The sequence below is a fragment of the Homo sapiens genome, chromosome 14 (genome assembly GCF_000001405.40).
Source record: "Homo sapiens chromosome 14, GRCh38.p14 Primary Assembly".
In the NCBI taxonomy this organism is placed as follows: domain Eukaryota; kingdom Metazoa; phylum Chordata; class Mammalia; order Primates; family Hominidae; genus Homo; species Homo sapiens.
The window spans coordinates 100,986,899-101,005,776 of NC_000014.9; the positions used below are offsets into that span (position 1 = coordinate 100,986,899).

General features: G+C 38.4%; 1 long non-coding RNA gene and 8 other non-coding genes across 9 annotated transcripts in view, besides 3 other annotated features; all 9 read left to right on the top strand.

Annotated features, from left to right (window-relative positions):
* MEG8 (maternally expressed 8, small nucleolar RNA host gene) overlaps positions 1 to 12,215 on the top strand; it is a 109,465-nt gene extending 97,250 nt beyond the window's left edge. Inside the window, exons 43-51 of the long non-coding RNA NR_146000.1 lie at positions 646 to 732; positions 1,811 to 1,892; positions 2,796 to 2,882; positions 4,593 to 4,667; positions 6,937 to 7,009; positions 9,988 to 10,018; positions 10,589 to 10,648; positions 11,127 to 11,213; positions 12,167 to 12,215. This is a non-coding gene — a long non-coding RNA (maternally expressed 8, small nucleolar RNA host gene). The remainder of the gene's footprint in view (positions 1 to 645; positions 733 to 1,810; positions 1,893 to 2,795; positions 2,883 to 4,592; positions 4,668 to 6,936; positions 7,010 to 9,987; positions 10,019 to 10,588; positions 10,649 to 11,126; positions 11,214 to 12,166) is intronic.
* SNORD114-26 (small nucleolar RNA, C/D box 114-26) lies at positions 148 to 218 on the top strand. Its single transcript, NR_003219.1, has one exon. It is a non-coding gene; the product is annotated as a small nucleolar RNA, C/D box 114-26 (small nucleolar RNA).
* Positions 1,209 to 2,408: an enhancer, noted in NCBI's record as "MED14-independent group 3 enhancer chr14:101454444-101455643 (GRCh37/hg19 assembly coordinates)". NCBI's record gives its function as "activates an origin of replication core promoter dependent on BRD2, BRD4, P300/CBP and CDK7 cofactors, and independent of MED14, by STARR-seq in HCT116 cells {active_cell/tissue: HCT116}" and the evidence as "EXISTENCE:reporter gene assay evidence [ECO:0000049][PMID:35650434]".
* On the top strand, positions 1,263 to 1,331 carry SNORD114-27 (small nucleolar RNA, C/D box 114-27). Its single transcript, NR_003220.1, has one exon. It is a non-coding gene; the product is annotated as a small nucleolar RNA, C/D box 114-27 (small nucleolar RNA).
* Positions 1,430 to 1,599: an enhancer, noted in NCBI's record as "experimental_33725 CRE fragment used in MPRA reporter constructs". NCBI's record gives its function as "activates a minimal promoter by MPRAs in K562 erythroleukemia cells, with activity observed for the introgressed 14:101454750 variant allele {active_cell/tissue: K562}" and the evidence as "EXISTENCE:reporter gene assay evidence [ECO:0000049][PMID:34662402]".
* On the top strand, positions 2,232 to 2,302 carry SNORD114-28 (small nucleolar RNA, C/D box 114-28). The gene has a single exon (NR_003221.1). It is a non-coding gene; the product is annotated as a small nucleolar RNA, C/D box 114-28 (small nucleolar RNA).
* Positions 3,193 to 3,261, top strand: SNORD114-29 (small nucleolar RNA, C/D box 114-29). The gene has a single exon (NR_003222.1). It is a non-coding gene; the product is annotated as a small nucleolar RNA, C/D box 114-29 (small nucleolar RNA).
* Positions 5,021 to 5,091, top strand: SNORD114-30 (small nucleolar RNA, C/D box 114-30). The gene has a single exon (NR_003223.1). It is a non-coding gene; the product is annotated as a small nucleolar RNA, C/D box 114-30 (small nucleolar RNA).
* On the top strand, positions 6,338 to 6,411 carry SNORD114-31 (small nucleolar RNA, C/D box 114-31). The gene has a single exon (NR_003224.1). It is a non-coding gene; the product is annotated as a small nucleolar RNA, C/D box 114-31 (small nucleolar RNA).
* On the top strand, positions 7,359 to 7,432 carry LOC124903422 (small nucleolar RNA SNORD113/SNORD114 family). The gene has a single exon (XR_007064400.1). It is a non-coding gene; the product is annotated as a small nucleolar RNA SNORD113/SNORD114 family (small nucleolar RNA).
* Positions 11,569 to 11,643, top strand: LOC124903421 (small nucleolar RNA SNORD113/SNORD114 family). Its single transcript, XR_007064399.1, has one exon. It is a non-coding gene; the product is annotated as a small nucleolar RNA SNORD113/SNORD114 family (small nucleolar RNA).
* Positions 13,790 to 14,989: an enhancer, noted in NCBI's record as "P300/CBP strongly-dependent group 1 enhancer chr14:101467025-101468224 (GRCh37/hg19 assembly coordinates)". NCBI's record gives its function as "activates an origin of replication core promoter dependent on BRD2, BRD4, P300/CBP, MED14 and CDK7 cofactors, with strong dependence on P300/CBP, by STARR-seq in HCT116 cells {active_cell/tissue: HCT116}" and the evidence as "EXISTENCE:reporter gene assay evidence [ECO:0000049][PMID:35650434]".

An 18,878-nucleotide genomic window follows, 5' to 3' on the forward strand; every position in this document is an offset into this window, starting at 1 on the left:
GTGTTAGAATGATTCTGTATAAAGATAGGGAATATCAAGTCTGTTCTTAGTGTTTTGTGAATCACAGAGTGTAAAATTATTCCCAGTGAATTAATGAATAAATTTAAAGACAACATAGAAATGAATGCAGAAAAAGAGGGTCAACCCTGGATCGATGATGAGCACTGGTGGAGTATGAGTCACATACGATGAATACGTGTCTGGAACTCTGAGGTCCATCGCAGAAGTCAGTTTCCTCTGTTTCAACTAACTCTGTAGATAGATGACAAGAATAGAGAATGAATTTTTTTTGTTTATGAGTTTTTATTTTATAATTGGTTCAATGAAAGAATAAAACATATATGAATAAATAAATAAGTTATGCATTGTCCAATTATAAAAATGTGTGATGAGGTGTATTTAATACGTATTTAAATTGATGAAAGCCAAAAATAAATCTAACATACCTAACCTTTTTGGCCAATAATGAAGAGATAGTATAAATTATATGCTATTTTCGTGTTCTTGGTTAGTGGCAAGTTCAAAGTTGTTCATACTTCAAATAACGATTGCCTAAATGTTTAACTACAGATAGGTAAAAAGGAAAGATCAACAATGAGAAAAATCACATTTTTGTTATTATTTTCTCTGCTCTGCACTCATCAGAATGGACGTACTTGTGATGATTTAAAGATGCCTCCAAGGTCACGTGCTCTGTTTGCACCATGCTTAGGAAGGAGCGTACAGACCAAAGTAAGTAATGGTCAAAGCTCTTGTCTTGGTTTGAGTGGTTTGTTTAAGAGGATTCAGTGTATTATAAAAACGTATAATACATTATAAAAATGTAATATATTGTAGGAATATATTATATATATTTCTATAATATAATGTAGTATAAAATACATTATAGGAAGATATAATACATTATAAAAGAGGTAATACATTATAGGAATATATTACTGGAATATCTTATATATAAAATATATATTATAGGAATATAATCTATATATAATATATTCCAATATATTATAGGAATGTAATCAAAGACGGCCAACTCTTTCCCAGTTAGAGGAGTGATAGGAAGTACTATATTGAAAACACATATATGAAAAATGGAGAACAATGAATGAAAATATATATCAACATTATAATGATTCTATGTAGGGATTAGGAATATCAAAGCTCTTGGATTTTTAAAAACCAAAGATTTTAAACTTATTATCAGTGAATTGAGTTAATTATTAGACAAAGTAAAAATGCATAGAGAAAAATAGGAAGAATCCTGGTTCAGTGTTGACTACTGGTGTCGTGTGAGTCATACAATGAATACATGTCTGGAACTCTGAGGCCCATCAGAAAGTCAATTTCCTCTGTTTCACATGATTCTATAGGTAGATGTCAGGAATACAGACTCAGTTTGTTTTAGGTCTTTGTGTGTTATGCATTTATATTTTATTTTATAATTGGATCAGTGAGAATCAATAAGCAAATATTTGAATAAATAAAGATGAATCAGGTTAAGCATTGTCCAATTATAAAAATATTTGATGAGGCAGCAAGCACTATTAATATGTACTGAAACAGTGATAGCCAAGGAAAAATGAATGATGCATGCCTTTGGCCTCTTGCGAGTGATAGTGTAGACAGTATAAACTATAGATAATGTTTAAGGTATGGGTCAGTGGCAAGTTTGAAATTGGTAATTTTCTTAAGAGAAAATGAAATACACTTCAAATAATGATTGCCTAAATGACTCATTAGATGAAGGTGAATCATGAGCGAGAAAGTCCCCTTGTATGCTCTGAACTCCTCTGTGCTTTGTGCTCTGCAGAATGGATGAATTGTGCACCTTGAAAAGTTCTTCCATGGTCACCTGAGGCATCTGCGTCATGATTAGGCTCCGGATGACTAATGTGAGTAATAGTTAACATTTTTTACTTCCTTCTGGTGCCATTTTAAGAGGACTCATTGTATTATAAAAAGTGTGTGACATTATCAAAGATGTCCGCCTGCATCCCAGTGAAAGATATGGAAACGATACGAAGCGTTGTATTGATAATGCATATATAAAAACCTGAAGATAGTTAATTAAGAGGTGTATCAATGTTGGAATAATTCAGTATACAAATTAGGAATATTAAAGTTATTCTCAGGATTTTTTTGAACTATAAAGTCTTAAAATTGCTATTAGTGAATTAACAAATCAATCCATAGACAGGGTAGAAATGAATAGAGAAAGAGATGAACAATCCTGGATCGATGATGACTGCTGGTGGCGTATGAGTCATATGCGATGAATACGTGTCTAGAACTCTGAGGTCCATCACAGAAGAAATCTAGCTCATTTTCTGTGTTTGATATAATCCTTTAGACAGGCATCAGGAATATTAGATGAGTTTGGTTTTAGTCTTTGTATTTACATGTTTTAATTCTATTTTTGTAATTGGCCAATATAAAAACCAATAAACAAATGTATAAATAAAGATGAGTAAGGTTAATCATTGTCCAGTTGTAAAAAATATTTGGTGAGGTAAGAAACACTATTAATATGTATTGAAAATAGTGAAGTCTGAAGAGAAGTACATGTACATGTCTGTCACCTCTTTGGCTATGGTGATATAGACAGGATAATTATAGACAATGTTCAAATTCTTGGTTAATTGTAAGCTTGAAATTGTTCATTTTTTAAAGAGGAAATGAAATAAGTTTACTCCAAATAATGATAGCTTAGATGACTAACTAATGATAGGTGAAAAGCAAGGATTGATAGTTAAAATGCCTCTCTTTTGTTATTATCTTCTTTGCTCTGTACTTAGAATGGACGTACTTGTTCTGATTTGAGGACTTCTTCATGGTCACATGTTCTGTTTGCACCATGCTTAGGAAGGAGCATGTGTACCAATGTGAGTGACAGTCAGATTTCTTGCATTTCTTTGGGTGGTTTATTTAAGAGGACTCAATGTACTGTGAATAAACATGTAATATAATCAAAGATGGTGAATTTTATCTAGTGAGGGATATTGGAGTCAAAAGAAGTATTATATTGATAATTCACATATGAAAAACAGGATAACTCATGAAACATTAATATAGGAATTATTTGGGATATCTTTTTGGGTTTTGTGAGTCATAAGGTTTAAAGTTATTATTAGTAAATTAATGAATTAATCAACAGACAATGTAGAAAATAACAGAGAAAAGAAGGGCCAATCCTGGATCGATGATGACTACTGGTAGCATGAGTCATATACAGTGAATACATGTCTGGAACTCTGAGGTCTGTCTCAAAAGATATCTAGTCTATTTCCTGTTTCAAATGATCCTACAGACAGATGGCAAAAAATAGAATGTATATGTGTTTGGTTTTCATGTTTATGAATTTTTATTTTACATTTATGATTGGCTCAATCAGAGAATCAGTTAATAAATATACAAATAAAGATGAATAAGGGCCGGGCATGGTGGCTCACACCTGTAATCTCAGCACTTTGGGAGGCCAACACGGGTAGATCACTTGATGACAGGAGATCGAGACCTACCTGGCCAACGTGGCGAAACCCTATCTCTACTAAAAATACAAAAATTAGCCAGGCATGGCGGCATGTGCCTCTAATCCGAGGACTTGGGTGGCTGAGGCACATGGATTGCTTGAACCCGGGTTTCAAAAATTGCTTGAACCTGGGAGGCTGCAGTGATCCGAGATCACGTCACTGCAGCTTGGCAACAGAGCAAGATTCTGTGTCAAAAAGAAAAAAATAAAAAGGATAAGATTAAGGATTGTCCAACTATAAAAATATGTGGAAAGACAAAAAACACTATTAATACATACTGAAATTGGTAACAACTAAAGAGAAATCTTGCATACCTGTTACCTCTTTGAATGAGATAGACAGTATAAATTTTGACCGTATTCAAGTTCTGGGTCAGGGACAATTCCAAAGTTCTTTATTTTCCCTTCCTTTCTTCCTTCCTTTCTTTCTTTCCTTTCTTCCTTCCTTTCTTCCTTCCTTTCTTTCTTTTCTTTCTTTCTTTCTTTCTTTCTTTCTTTCTTTCTTTCTTTCTTTCTTTCTCTCTCTTTCTCTCTCTCTCTTTTCCTTCCTTCCTTCCTTCCTTCCTTCCTTCCTTCCTTCCTTCCTTCCTTCCTTCCTTCCTTCCTTCCTTCCTTCTTTCTTTTTGAGATGGAGTCTTGCTCTATCACTTAGGGTGGAGTACAATGCCACGATCTCAGCTCACCGCAACCTCTGCCTCATGGGTTCAAGCAGTTCTTGTGCCTCAGCCTCCCTAATAGCTGGGATTGCAGACGCGTGCCATCATGCCTGGCTAGTTTTTGTATTTTCAGTAGAGATGGGGTTTCTCCATGTTTCCCAGACTGGTCTTGAACTCTTGACCTCAAGTGATCCACCTGCCTCTGCCTCCCAACATGCTGGGATTACAGGCATGAGCCACCACATCTGGCCAGTTATTCATAAAAAAATGAAATATACCTCAAATTAATGAACATATAAATGAGTATAAATGTTTATACATTTATTAATTTGAGGTATATTTGAAAAGCAAGGATCAATGGAGAGAAGGTCTCATTTTTGTTGTCATCTCTTCTGCTCTGTACTCAGAATGGAAGCACAGAAGCTGGTTTTAATAGTTAAGAGCTGTATGGTCCATCTCTGTGCTAGAAGCTGGAGACCAATGTGAGTAATAGTCAAAGTTCTTGTCTCATCTTGGGTGTTTTGTTTAAAGGTTTATAGTGCATTAACAAAAAATATGAAATATAATCCAATAAGGCCATGAGTAGCCCAGGGATAAATATGGAATGGATGTGGAATGTTACACTGAGGGATGCTTATATGAAAAGCATGTCCTGTATTATTAAGAAAGGTAATAATGAGGGGATATGGTATTGTGAGGATGAGTGTATATACAAATTAGAGATATCAAGGCTCCTCTTGGGGTTTTGTGAGTGATAGTGTTTAAAAGTTATTAATGGTGAATTAATGAAGTAATAAATAATGTAACAATGAATGAAGAGCACCAGAGCTAATCCTGGATCAATCATGACTACTGGTATTGGATGGGTCTTCGTCAGTGAATGCCTATCTGGAACTCTGAGGTCCATCAGAAAAGAAATATAGTGTTTTCCCTCTTTTGGAAGTGATCCTATAGACAGACGTCAGGAATATGCAAGGGTCTTGTTTTTGCTCTTTGTGAGCACGAGTTTTCAATCTATTATTATAATTCAATCAATGAAGGAACCACTAAACAAATATACAAATAAAGTATGTTGGATGCGACTAAGCGTTCTCTAACTGTAAAAATAATTTGTGAGGCAAAAAAAGCTATGATATGGCCAGGCATGGTGGCTCACACCCGTAATCCCAGCACTTTGGGAGGCCAAGGTGGGTGGATCACCTGAAGTCAGGAGTTCGAGATGAGCCTGGGCAACATGGTAAAACCCCATCTGTACTAAAAATACAAAATTAGCTGGGCGTGGCGGCGTATGCCTGTGATCCCAGCTACTTGGGAGGCTGAGGCAGGAGAATCACATGAACCTGGGAGATGGAGGTGGCGGTGAGCCAAGATCACACCACTGCACTTCAACCTGGGCAATAGAGTGAGAAGAAAATCTATGATATATATTGAAAACACCAATACCATTAGGAAATAAGTGGTATGAGGTTGTTATTTATTTAGTTAGGGATGTTATAGACAGTGGTAAATAATAATGAATGTTTATGCTTTGTGTCAGTGGTGTGACTGATACTGTCTGGCTATGTAGAGTAAATAAAATATATGTTATCTCAAATAACCTATGTGACTGAATCAGTGGAAGATAGAATGCAAAGAGTAATGCAGATAATGTCTTAATCTTTTCTGATCATCTCTTGTGCTCTGTACTCCTCAAAATAAACACACTCTGGCTGATTTTATCATTCTTTTTTAATGGTAAGATCCATGGTTGCGTCTATGTGTTATATGGTGTGTGGAGACCAATGTGAGTGACAGTCAACATTCTTGGTTTCAGTGTTTTTTAAAAAAGATATTCGTAGTATTATTAAGAAGTGTTAAATACAATCATTGAAGGTAAACTCTGGCCCATTTGTAAAAATAGGATTAATATAAAGCATTATGTTGATTAATGTATATATATAAAACATTGAATTTAACTAATGAAAACATTGAATTTAATTAATGAAAGAGGTGTATTGCTGTGAGTAATATTGACATAGACAGATATAAGAGCTATTTAAGGATTTTACTCACAAGTTTTTGTGACTCTTAGGTAATTATTTTATTGTTAGTGAACTGATAAATTAATCAATAAAAACACGTAGACACGAATTAAGAAAAGGAGGTCCAAGCTTGAGCAAGCGATGACAGCCGGTGGTGTGTGAGTCATGGAGGATGAATACTAAGTGCCTGGAACTCTGAGGTTCAATATAATAGAAATCTAATCTATTCCTCTGTTGAAAAAAATCCTTTAGATAGATGTTAGTGATATCAAGGCTGTTTGCTTCCAATTTTACAGTTCATGGATTGTGATTGTGTTAATATAAATGAATTAATGAAAGAATCAAACAAAGATTTGAATGATTAAACATGAAGAGAGAGAGAGGCATATTCTAATTGTTAACATATGTGGCAAGGAAAGAAATACTATTAATTAATTTGGAATGGATAATAAATGGGCCAGTGGTTTTTAACTCTCTGGCTAAGAATCATAGAGCCACTGATAGAGCAATAGCACTGATTATTAGTTATCAAAGGCTATGTGATTTTTAGGTCAATTCTCAGGTCAACTGGGTCAATTGTAAGTTCAATATTTATTTTATTAAGGGGGAAATAAGCAAATATTAACAAATCAATAAATACCAACTGACAGAGTAAATGGAAGGTAGAATGAAAAAATTAATGGATAGAAAATCTCAAATTTTGTCTTCTGCTCTTCCTTGTAATCCTCAGAACAGTCACTCCCTGCACTGATTCTGCCATGACCACTTGCTCTATGGTTGTTTTAAGGAACCTACAGACAAATGTGAGTAATCGTCAAAGTTCTTGTCTTGGTTTGGGCCATTTAAGAGTGGTCAATGCATTATTAATAAGTAGAAAATATAATTAAAGAAGACTAACCGTGTCCCCAAAATGAACATGGGGTTGATATGAAACATTTTGTTGAGTAATGCATGTTTGAAACAATCAGGTCAGTTCAAGAAACATGTCTAATTTCTGTAGGAACTGCTCTACAGATAGACAACAGGGTTATCACAGCTCTTGTCCTATTTTTTTTCTGATTCATGTCTATTTCTTTATTATAAAGTAGTAAATTAATAAATAAATGAAATAGACAAAGTCTAAATGAAAAAAATGATTGATGGTCTGTGGCCTGGCCCAGAGATGATGACTCGTGGGTATGAGTCAAGGATGATGAGTAATAGGAGTCAGGAAGTTTAAGCTCCGATATAAAAGAAATCTAGCCTATTGATCAGTTGGAAATGATCCTGTAGACAGTAGTTAAAAATATTCAGTTATCGGCTGGGCACGGTGGCTCACACCTTTAATCCCAGCACTTTGGGAGGCCGAGGTGGGCAGATCACAAAGTTAGGAGTTTAAGACCAGCCTGACCAACACAGTGAAACCCCGTCTCTACTAAAAATATACAAATTAGCCGGGTGTGGTGGCGAGTGCCTGTAATCCCAGCTACTTGGGAGGCTGAGGCAGGAGAATTGCTTAAACCCAGGAAGTTGAGGTTGCAGTGAGTCGAGATCGCGCCACTGAATTCCAGCCTGGGCAACAGAGTGAGACCCTGTCTCGAAAAAAAAAAAACAAAAAAAACCCCCAAAAAATCAGTTACCCTATTCTTGTGCTCTTGTAATTCACGGATAATGAATTAATGCGTGAAGAACTCAAGTAAAAGAAATAAGTGAATAAAAACATGGCCACACCTGGACCAACTATAACATGTGTAATGAAGCAAGTCACAGTACTGATCTATTGCTCAGGGAGTGGGAATTGTGTCAGATTTTTAATCTCTCAGAATGAGAAACATGTAGACAAATGTATGAGCTGTCCATGTTTATATTGAGTTGTCTTTGGTTTCCTGGTTGTCTTATCCTTAACTAGGGATGTTGTTTATATAAATAGAAAGCTATTTTTAAAGAGGGCCAGTGACAATAATTTGTTCTATAACAAGAGCTATTGTGCTCACTAAATTCCATTACAAAGTGACATCATCTGTTATTACTTTGGTAATGATCAACTATGCATGTGCTACGATGATCCATGCTGTAGTTTAGATCATGTGTAAGGATACTGATTTTATCTTAATAATGAACAAATGCTTAAGTTAATAATAATCAATTAGCTAAAAAGGATAAAGCAAGGGCCAGTAGCAAACATGTCTGGAAATGATGGTTGTGATGTAACTGGGTCCGGAGAGTGTATTCTTCTTAAGGCAAGTATTTTGGCTCTTACAAGTGTTTGCATAATTAGGCTATACATAGACGCACAGTATCAGACACATTCTGGGTTTCTGAGGGTTTACATATGTTCTGTTTCTTTACAAAGAATGAATAATTCGCCAAATTGGTTTGTGAATGAGTGAATGAAGTGATAGCAAGCACTGTTCATTGGTATGAAATTGCTCTGAAACAAGTATTTAGATGAATCTAATTGTGCATATGGGAGGTCCAAAGATTTAGGTTGTTGAGTGCATGGGTGGAGGCATTGAAGCTGACGTGTTTTGTAGAGAACTCTCATTCTTGATTCAGATGTTGGATTCAAAGGCGTCCATTTATTTTATTTAAGTTCTGGGGTACATGTGCAGGATGTGCATGTTTGTTACATCGGTAAACATGTGTCATGGTGGTTTGCTGCACCTATCAACTCATCACCTAGGTATTAAGCCTGGCATGCATTAGCAGTTTTTCCTGATGCTCTCCCCACCCTCCCCTGACAGGCGCCAGTGTGTGTTGTTCCCCTCCTGTGTCCATGTGTTCTCATTGTTCAGCTCCCACTTATAAGTGAGAACATGCAGTGTTTTGTTTTCTGTTCCTGCATTAGTTTGCTGAGGATAATGGCTTCCAGCTTCATCCATGTCCCTGCAAAGCACATGCTCTCATCCCTTTAATGGCTGCATAGTATTCCATAGTGTATATGTATCACATTTTCCTTATCCAGTATTTGGGTTGATTCCATGTCTTTGCTATTGCGAATAGTGCTGCAATGAACATACATGTGCATGTATCTTTATAATAGAATGATTTCTATTCCTTTGGGTTATATACCCAGTAATGGAATTGCTGGGTCAAATGGTATTTCTGCTTCTAAATCTTTGAGGAATCACTACACTGTCTTCCATAATGGTTGAACTAATTTATATTCCCACCAACAGTGTAAAATCATTCTTATTTCTCTTTAACTTCATCGGCATCTGTTTTTTCTTGACTTTTTAATAATCACCATTCTGACTGGTAGGAGATGGTGTCTCACTGTGGTTTTGATTTGTATTTCTCTGATGATCAGTGATGTTGAGCCTTTTTTCTTGTTTGTTGGCTGCATGTATGTCTTCTTTTGAGAAGTGTTTGTTCATGTCCTTTGCCCATTTTTTAATGGGGTTGTTGGTTTTTTTCTTGTGAATTTGCTTAAGTTCCTTGTAGATTCTGGATATTAGACCTTTGTCAGATGGATAGATTGCAAAAATTTTCTCCCATTCTGTAGGTTGTCTCTTCACTCTGATGATAGTTTCTTTTGCTGTGCAGAAACTCATTAGTTTAATTAGATTCCACATGTCAATTTTTGCTTTTGTTGCAATTGCAAAGGCATCCATTTTAAATGCAAAATTAATAATTGAATTAATGTGACAAAAAAGAGGGTTTTCTGGCCAGTTGTAAAAAGAGCATGACCCAATTATAAAAATTAATCTAAACTTGCTCTCCTTTCATTTATTAGAATATTAGAGCACAGTCAAAATTTAGGATGTTTCATTCTTTTTACCATTTGCATTCTACCCTCCAGAATGGATTATCATTGGTGAAGATCTTAGCTGGTAAGTCTCTGGGAAAAAGGCTATAGACCTATACAAATAATGCCCAAAGTTCTTGTCCTTTGGTGGGGTGTTTACTCAGAGGTATTCATTGTATTATAAAATAATGCATAAATGACTACATCTATATACAGAATTAAAAAAGAACAGGGATGAGAGTGTGTTACACACCAATAATTAGAATGAGTCCAATCAGAACATCTGTGGAATTATATATTTTTAATATCCCAAAACACTGAGTTTTATGAATAAATTAATAAATCAGGAATGTTCCTTCTTTTGGTAAGTATCATATAGACAAAGAATAGTAATAGTCAACGTTTTTGTTCTGGGAGAATGGTGAGTTCAAGTTTGTCTTGTTAAGAGAAACAAATAAATAATTTCACAAATTTATCAATACCTAATTATAAATAGCTAAGCAAATTAACGGGGGAAACATGGATCAATTGAAAGAATTTTTGATATTTTCACTCCCTTTTTGTAAGGAATATTCCTGCATATTTTGTGTATACATTTTTAAAGGTATAAAAGAATACATGTTTATTTTTCCTTTTTTTCACCATCTGCTTTCAGTTCCATAGAAGGAACACACTTATCACTACAGTGATTCTGTAATGATGAAGACCTTTATGGGTCAGTGTGAGTAATGATCCAAGTTCTTGTCATTGTTGGGATGGTCCATTTAGGGTATTTAGTGTATGATAAAATAATACGTAATATAATCAATGAAGGCTACAGAAAAACCAATGATAAGATTGTATTATAAATCAAGGTTCATGATGACTACTGTTTTGCACAACAGAAGCCCTTTTTAAAAGAAGAGCTCTACATTTTTAGCTCTGTGGGTATGGAATATGGAGTCAGATGTATGTAACTCTCATAGGTTTTATGTTGGGTGGTTCATTTAAGGGTATTCCTGATATTGTTAAAATGGATAATATGTTAATTAATAAGATGGAGCTCCATTCACGAACCAGAGATAACAATGTGGCATAAATCATTGTTTGTGTTCAATTTCTACGATGGTTACTTCACGTTTACTAAGTCGAAACCTAAATCTAGGTCTTTTCAGTTGGTAATTTCCTCTTTCATTTGGTAATATCATCTACAGGATGGGTAGACCAGAGCTGATTAAATTATTCTCCCATTGATGAGGAACTTTACCTTATCCCTCAGAGTAAGGAGAATGTCATATAATGTAAGTAATAAAGTTCTTGAGTTGGGTTGTTGGTTCATGATTTCTACTGTCATTTAAAAAGATAATTAAATTTTAAAAGGTCATACTAGGCCTATGATGAGAATGTGTTGTGGACCGAAATTAATCCAATTTAGCACAAATGAAGTGTAAGAAAAAATTTAGCTTTCCCATTCATTTTCAATAGTTAAATGTCACATTGTATGTTTGTCTCATTGATTATTTAAAGACTCTTCTCTTGATAAAGGCTGTTACTCATTTATGGAGTCAGTATTCTAGTTGTTGAGTAGGATGGTGGTTCAAGTTTGTTCATTTGATATCTAAAAGTTGTTCAAATTAAATGTAGAGGGGCCATGTCTGGACCAATGATGTGAATGGAATGCATCTGAATAAAAATTATGATCAATCAGTTTTTGGAACAACTGAGGTCCACTGCAAAATGAAGAACTAATATGTAAACCTTTGTGGGAATAATGTCAGGAAAGTTTGAGAATCTAGTTCTGGAGCTTGAGAGGGTTCACAGGTACTGATTTTATATGATTAGCAGATCCACTTGTGTGGATCAACACACAAGTATATTCATGAGTAAAGAAAAAGAGGTTAAGACATGGACCAATTCTGAGGGCATGTTGTAAAGCAAGGAATATAATTAATTCAATTCTGAAATACCTTGGTCCATCAAGAAAAAAAACAGATTAAATTTGTCACCACTTTGGGTAAGAAGCATCTAGATAGAAGTACTTAATAGTCAATGTTCTGTTCTTAGTTTGCTGTGGGTTCCCAGATGTTTGATTCATTAAGACAAAAAAATTAAAATTAAACAAACAAATACGTGTATAACTAAATAAATGGGTGCCAAGTATGAACCAATGATAAGGGTACTTCATTATTTTCTATATCTGCTTTGTAACCCCACAGAACAGAGGTAACTTGGCTGTTTTAATAATTATTTAAAGGATGAAGATCTTGACTGTTACCCATGTGGCAAGGAGAGTGTAGAACAGGGTGAGTCAGATTAAGTTTTTATTCTTGGTTTAGCCTTTTGTTAGAGATGATGATTAATTATTATTTGAAAAGAAGAAATGACTTTATGCAGTCATAAAATCCAAGAAGACCATGCCTGAACCAATGATAAGAATGAATCCTGCCAAGTGTCATGGTTAATTCATTTTGCAAAACGAGATCCATTTAAAAAGAGGTTTGGTTTGCTATCTCTTAGATTAAGGAGATTATAGGCAGATTCTAGCCTTGGTCAAAGATCTTGTTTTTGGGTTAGTTGTGGTTCTCTTGAGTTTTGTTATTTTATTAAAAATAATAAATAGTTAAACAAGTACAAAGCATTTATGCTAGTAAAATTACAATGGCCACTCATGACCAATTTGGAGATTATATCATGAAACAAGGATTTGTTTAACTTTGGTTAACTGTTTTATCACTGTTTGAGGAGGTCATGGAAAGATTTAAATGATAGTCAATTTCTCCCCTCTTTCTTGGGAGTAGATTCTTTGTTGTTGACTTTGTTTTTGAAAATGAGTGACTGACTAAATTAATGAACGACAAAAACACTAGAATGGACAAGAATATTCAAATGATGACATTTCATGAAGCAAGAATTATGATCAACACAATTCTGCTTCCCTGAAATCCATTTAACAGAAAAGAGTCAATCTGTTTTCTCTGTGTATAATGAGGTCAGAAACAGGTGTTAAAATATTCAGTGTTCTTGTTTTTGTATTTTGGTGGGTTCATGGAGTTGATTATTATGATTAAGGAAATAAGTATATGAAAAAGTAAATTACAAGAGGGTAAATCATGAACCAGTGATTAAAATGTGTTTTGAAACAAAGATTGTAGGTATTTCAGTTCTGCACTGTGGACTTTTATGAAATGAAACCTTAATCTTTTGTATCTTTATTTTAATAGTACATAGTACCATTCTGCATATACTATGGATATATTTTAGACATTTTCTCATGCTACTTACATTCAGTTTTTTTCACTATCTGAGTTATAAATTCTAGTGAATTGATTTATTTGGAGGTGGTGGTAGGAAACCCCTATGCCCCATATTTTAAAATTTTCTGGCAGCTGATATCTAAGAGAGTACTAAAATGACTAATATTAAGGTATTAATTTCAGCTCAACAAGTATTGATGCTAACTCTTGTCAGACCCCATATGAGGAGTGAAATTTATATATGAATTTAGTCTAGTTCCACTCATTGAGTAGCTCTGTGAGATTAGATGGAGACCCACTTACAAATGCAGCAATTCAATAGAATAGGGCAGGTAGATGGGTTCTCTGTGAGACTAGAGGGAGACCCACTTATACATGCAGCAATTTGATAAAATAGGACAGGTAGATGGGCTTTCTAGAAGCACAGAAGGTATGCCTTCAGCTCAATCTCAGTGTCAGTTGAGTTGTGGAAGAGATGACTCCTGAGCCAGTGACAGACTCATTAGTCCATAGCTCCGCAAAGCTGGGGACCACACTCCTCTCCTTCACTGCTCTGCCCCTTGTGCCTTACATGGACAGCACATGCAATAAGCATCTGTTGAATGAATAGGTGAATACATGGTGAATAAAAGAATGGAGGAGTGAAGCAGTATATGAACAAATGAGTCTTTGAGTAGACAAAGGAACGAATAAATGAAGTAATGAAAATGGGAATGAGTACACGAATGAGTGAATGGATCAATGATAGGTCCATGAGTGACTGAATCAGTGATAAGTGGATAAATGCATGGCGAGTTAATGAGTGGGTGAGTTCATGTGTAAGTAAAAATGTCACAAAGTGAATGAGTGGATGATGAATGACTAAGTCATTGAGCGAATGAATGGAAGATTAATAGGTCAAGTAGTCAAGAAATGAAAGACAAACATGTAAATGGATGAGTGAATCAATGGGTCCATGAATTCTTGAATGAATTTATGAATTAACAGATAAATGAAAGTCAATGAGTAATGAGAAAATAAATGAATAGATGAGTCTATGTATGAATCAATCAATGAGTTAATGACTCATTGAAGAACCAAATGAATGAATTAATCTAGGAATTAGTGAGTTTACTAATGAATAACTCAAAGAAAGAGGAAACAACCAAATAAATTAACTGGATAAATAAGTCAGTGAATGAAACAAATTATGAGCGAATAGATAGACAAAGGGATGGATAATTGATGGATATATTACAGCTAGTGAATAAAAGAGTGAATTAGTGAGTGAGCAAATGAGTCAGTGAATGAGTATGTAATCAAGGAATAAATTAGCTCTGGGAATGAGTAAGTGAATAAGTGAATGAGTCAATAAATTAGTGAATTAGTCACTTATTGAAGCATAAGGCAGTGAGTGAATGAACTCACACTGGGACTCTTTCCCTGACTGTTCAACAGAGAGTAGTCATGCCCCAGCTTCACACCACAGCATAAATAACTCAATCAGAGCACCCACCCTACGCTATCGTGGGCGTTTGTTTACATGTCATCACTAAACTGATGTGCCGCAGGGGCCAGGAACTGGGTCAAATTATTCTCTGTATCCCTGGTGCCTGCCCAGCTCTGAGCCTCGGAAGAGCACAGTAAATTGTTGCTGAATGAATGAACGATAGCTAAAAATACATTGGCTTTTTTGGAACCAGGATGGCCCATCTGAGAATGGTCTGGGAGCTGTTCTTTGGGGAGATGTGCTGTGTGTCAGATGGTTTGTGGCATCCTCCTACGCAAGTCTAGATTCTGCCTTGAATCCAGCTTCCTGTGTCCAGTGCCAGACAGCGAGACAGGATACTGGCAGTTCGGACTGCCCTGGACATTGCCCCATCCTTGGGCAATGCTGGCATGGCATGGTGAAATGAAAGCCCTAGGTCTTCCCGAAAGCTGCCCTTGCCTCTGCCAAGACAGGAGATCAGAAATAACCCGGTCTTGTTTTTATGCCTCCAGCGAGTGGGCCCACTCCATGCCTTTCCAAGCAACCACATTCCTCCTTGCTGTAGTTGTGGGACACTGGGTTGAAGCACCCCTTGACCTTTATCTGGTAGATGAGAATAACAATCCCTGTCTGGCTGGGTGGATGTGCTGCTTTACGGGAGATTATTTAATACATGTTACATAGGTAGCATGGTACCTGGGAGGAAAGAGATGTCTCAGAAATGTTACATGCCAGTTTTCATCATCCCCACCTAACGTAGCTATATTTGATTATTTCAAATGCATTAATTTAAAAGCTCTCAAATGGATGTGATACTCAAATTCCCCTCTTCCAGAAGATTGGAGAGTTCAACTGAGTTCTAGGAAGAACACCAGTCTGGATGGTATTCTGGGCTAGTCCAGACCTTCAAGATGGCATGGCACGCCCTTCTACCAGGGAACAGACAACCAGAAAAATGAATTGGCAATACCCACGCTCTATGTAGGACACATACACAAGACCCACCCTTCACCTCTCTACCCTTCCCTCCCTTCCTTCATTCAACACATAGGTATTCAGGGCCCACTGTATGCCTCACACTGACCATTTCTTGTCTTCTCTTGTCTTGGCTGGCTCCTGACCCTGGATTTCATCTCTCACTGGTGTTCTCACGTCCTTCGTTTGAACTTGGCGATTGGTTCTTGGTCATCTGGTGTGGATACTGCCCTCTCCTTCGTGAGGACTTGATTTGGGCTTCCTACTTCAGAGCACGCCAAGTAGACTCCCCCTTCTTAGTTTGGGGTATTGGGACCCCTATTCTGACTCTTCCAGATCGGCCGTTTTCCATCTGGGTGAGCTCCAGCCCCTTATAAGAGGAGCTTAGGCTGTGTTGGTGGCAGGGAGACCTCTGAACGCTGGGGTTGGGCAGCAACGTCAGCACAGAAGGCTTCGGACTAGACTCTGAGGTTTGCTTGGTGCCTGGAAGCTGATCTAGGAGAGAGGAGTTAGGTTGTCACTGCCCCTCTGTCCACAGAATTCCTTGGATAATGAGGCAAAACAACCTCAGAGCATTCAGCAACTTACAATTAATTTAGTTTTCCCATCCCTCCCACTGGTTACTCACCTGTGCTGGGCCTGACACAAATGTCACCCCCTCTCCTATCTTCACAGCCCCCTGCCCTCTCCCCTAGCTTCCTTTCCACAGTCCTCTGTTCACACCTGCCCTTTCTCACTCCTCCGTACTCATGCCAGAACCCACATCACATTGTCTGCTATGAGCTGCCAATTTATCCCAAAGGGCTATGAGCTTCTTGAGGACAGGTGTTCTTTTTATGTCATTATAGCCCACAGAAGGTCTAGACATCAGGGAATGTTAGGTGAATTAGGTGTTCATCCAGTCATTCATTTATGCAAAAGGTATCGGGCCCTTTCTGTGTGCTACAGGCTGGGTGGTAGAAATAAGTAACCTATCTTAAAAGAAGTAAGAGAGACACCACCTCTGCTCTTATAGAGCTCCAAGTCTTGGGTGAGAGATTTTAAGCAAATGTTTCTGGCAAAAGAATTTAATTACACTCGTGATAAGTGCTATGAAGCCATGGCTCTAGGGACTGTCATTCGCTTGGCCAGCTGGGTTGGTCCTGATGCTCACAGGAAGTTCCCCTTGCTTCTCTCCTTGGCTTTGAGGAGAGACTGAGAGAAGGACAGGACTCTAGCCATGGTCAGAGATGGCCAGTGGCTTTGGCCCTCTGGGGTCAGGTCCGTGGGGTGTTTGGACATCTAGGAGGAAAGAGAAATGACTGGACCTGGGGGTTTGTGCTTGGCTGTTACTTGAGTTCTGCTTGATAATGACCTGGGCGGTTGTGAGCCGTCAAACCCTGCCCTTCACTCAAGCACCTCACTTGTTAACAAAATCTCTGCTGAGTGTCAGGGTTTGATCTTCCCTGGTCAGCTTCCAAGTATTTCTCTCAGATATTTTGCCAAATGACAAACTAAAGGTAGACTGGAATATGAGTTGACCTTTTCTTTTTCTTCCACTGCATTTCATTCTGAGTTTCTTAAAGTGGTTGCCTGAGAAACAGTGATATCCTGCAGGCAGCCGGGCCACTGGGCATGTGCTGTTCCAGGCATCATCCCAGCTGCCTCCTCCTTCTGCCTTTGCTGTTCAGTCTCCACCAAAGCACCCATCTCTCCTCTGTAGCACCTCCAGTGAGCTCGCAGGTCCCTTTTCTCATCTGGACCACCATGCCGCCCAGGCTTCCCTCATCTTGGGCTGGTCTTTCTGCTCCCACCTCCACTCTGTTCTCTTCCTGGGCGATGGAGTTAGAGCGGTCTTTCTAGAATGCATGACCCAGAGTCCCTGCTCCTGAGAGCCCGCTCATGGCTCCCACAGGCCCCAGGATGGAGGCCCAGTTCCTTCCCTCCTGCCACGCCTCCCACTACATGCCCCCTGCCCTTGTGTGCTGCCTGGCAGAGCCTCCCCGGGTCTCCGGGCGTGTGTGTCTCTATGCCTTTGTCCCTGATCCCCTCCCTGTGGTCACCCTCCCACTGCTCCATAGATGCAAGACTTCTCTTGCTTCCCTCCCCAAGGTGGGCTATGTTGCCCCACACTCTGAACTGTTACAAGGCCATGAACTTGACCTTCATTCATAACATCTGTTGTTTGGTCATGATTTGTTTAGGTGTCTGCTTCCACAACCAGACCTTCAGCTCCCTGGGTATAGGTGCTCTGTCCTGGGCACCTCAGACTCCCCCACTGTCCAGTACACAACCCAGTGCAGAGGAGCTGATCATTAAGAACGTTAGTTGAATTGAAGGAATGAGTGGATGCACAAAAGGATAGTTGTATGGTCATACTGGGGCACAAATTATATCCCTGGCAGAGAACTGGGGTCCCTGGCATGGCGGAATAGCACCTCCTTCTCCAGCCAACTCCACTTTGCCTTCCACCTGCGACTCATTAAGAGATATGTAACCTTAATCCTTGAAATTGCCTGGGACGGAGCATGTTTTCACTCAATGGCATGAACATGGGGATTTTTTTCCTTTCTTAAATAAATCTCACTCCCCCAGGAAGCTTGGACAGGATGTGGGCAATCGAACTAGCTCTTGAAACTGAACGTTTTGCAAAAGGCCCCTTTCGAAATTTGAAACCCTGTGGCCACCGGCCAGAGCTGAGTCTGGCTTGTGGGGTTCGCGGGGGCCTCCTGAAAGAAGGGAAGGAAAGATTGAAAATAAACCTAGGCTGATGGTTTGTGAGACAGAATTCCGAGGTCTGGTTTTGCTTCTCTGATGAAACTTGAGTGAGCTTGGCTATCCTCTTTAGCTCTTCTTTCGAACCTTTGGCCGAAGGCTCCAACCCTCCCAAAGGCAGAAGGGAGCTTAATTTGTCCTGAAATGGATGGGACAAGTGTGCAGGCACTAGGTGGGATGGGAGCTTTATCTCAGTTTGGGAGGAGAGGGAACTCAGGGCCAGGGCCAGCGATTGTACAGTCCCACTCAGAGGGCGGAGTGGCTGGAGGCTGACCCTTCTCCCAGGGAGCAGGCGCTGGGTGGACCCTGACACTGGGGAGAATGAAAGGAAAATTGTATCATGCCTATTGTGTGCCAGGCAGAGCTAGCAGTTCCCCTTTCATCTGGGCAATGTCCCGGGCGGGTGATGTCAGTTCCTCATTGTGCAGACAAGGAAACTGAGACCTGGGGCCCATCCCATCCACGATCAGGGCCCAGGCAGCTCCGACTCAATGTTCAGTGCTCTCTGCAGGCGT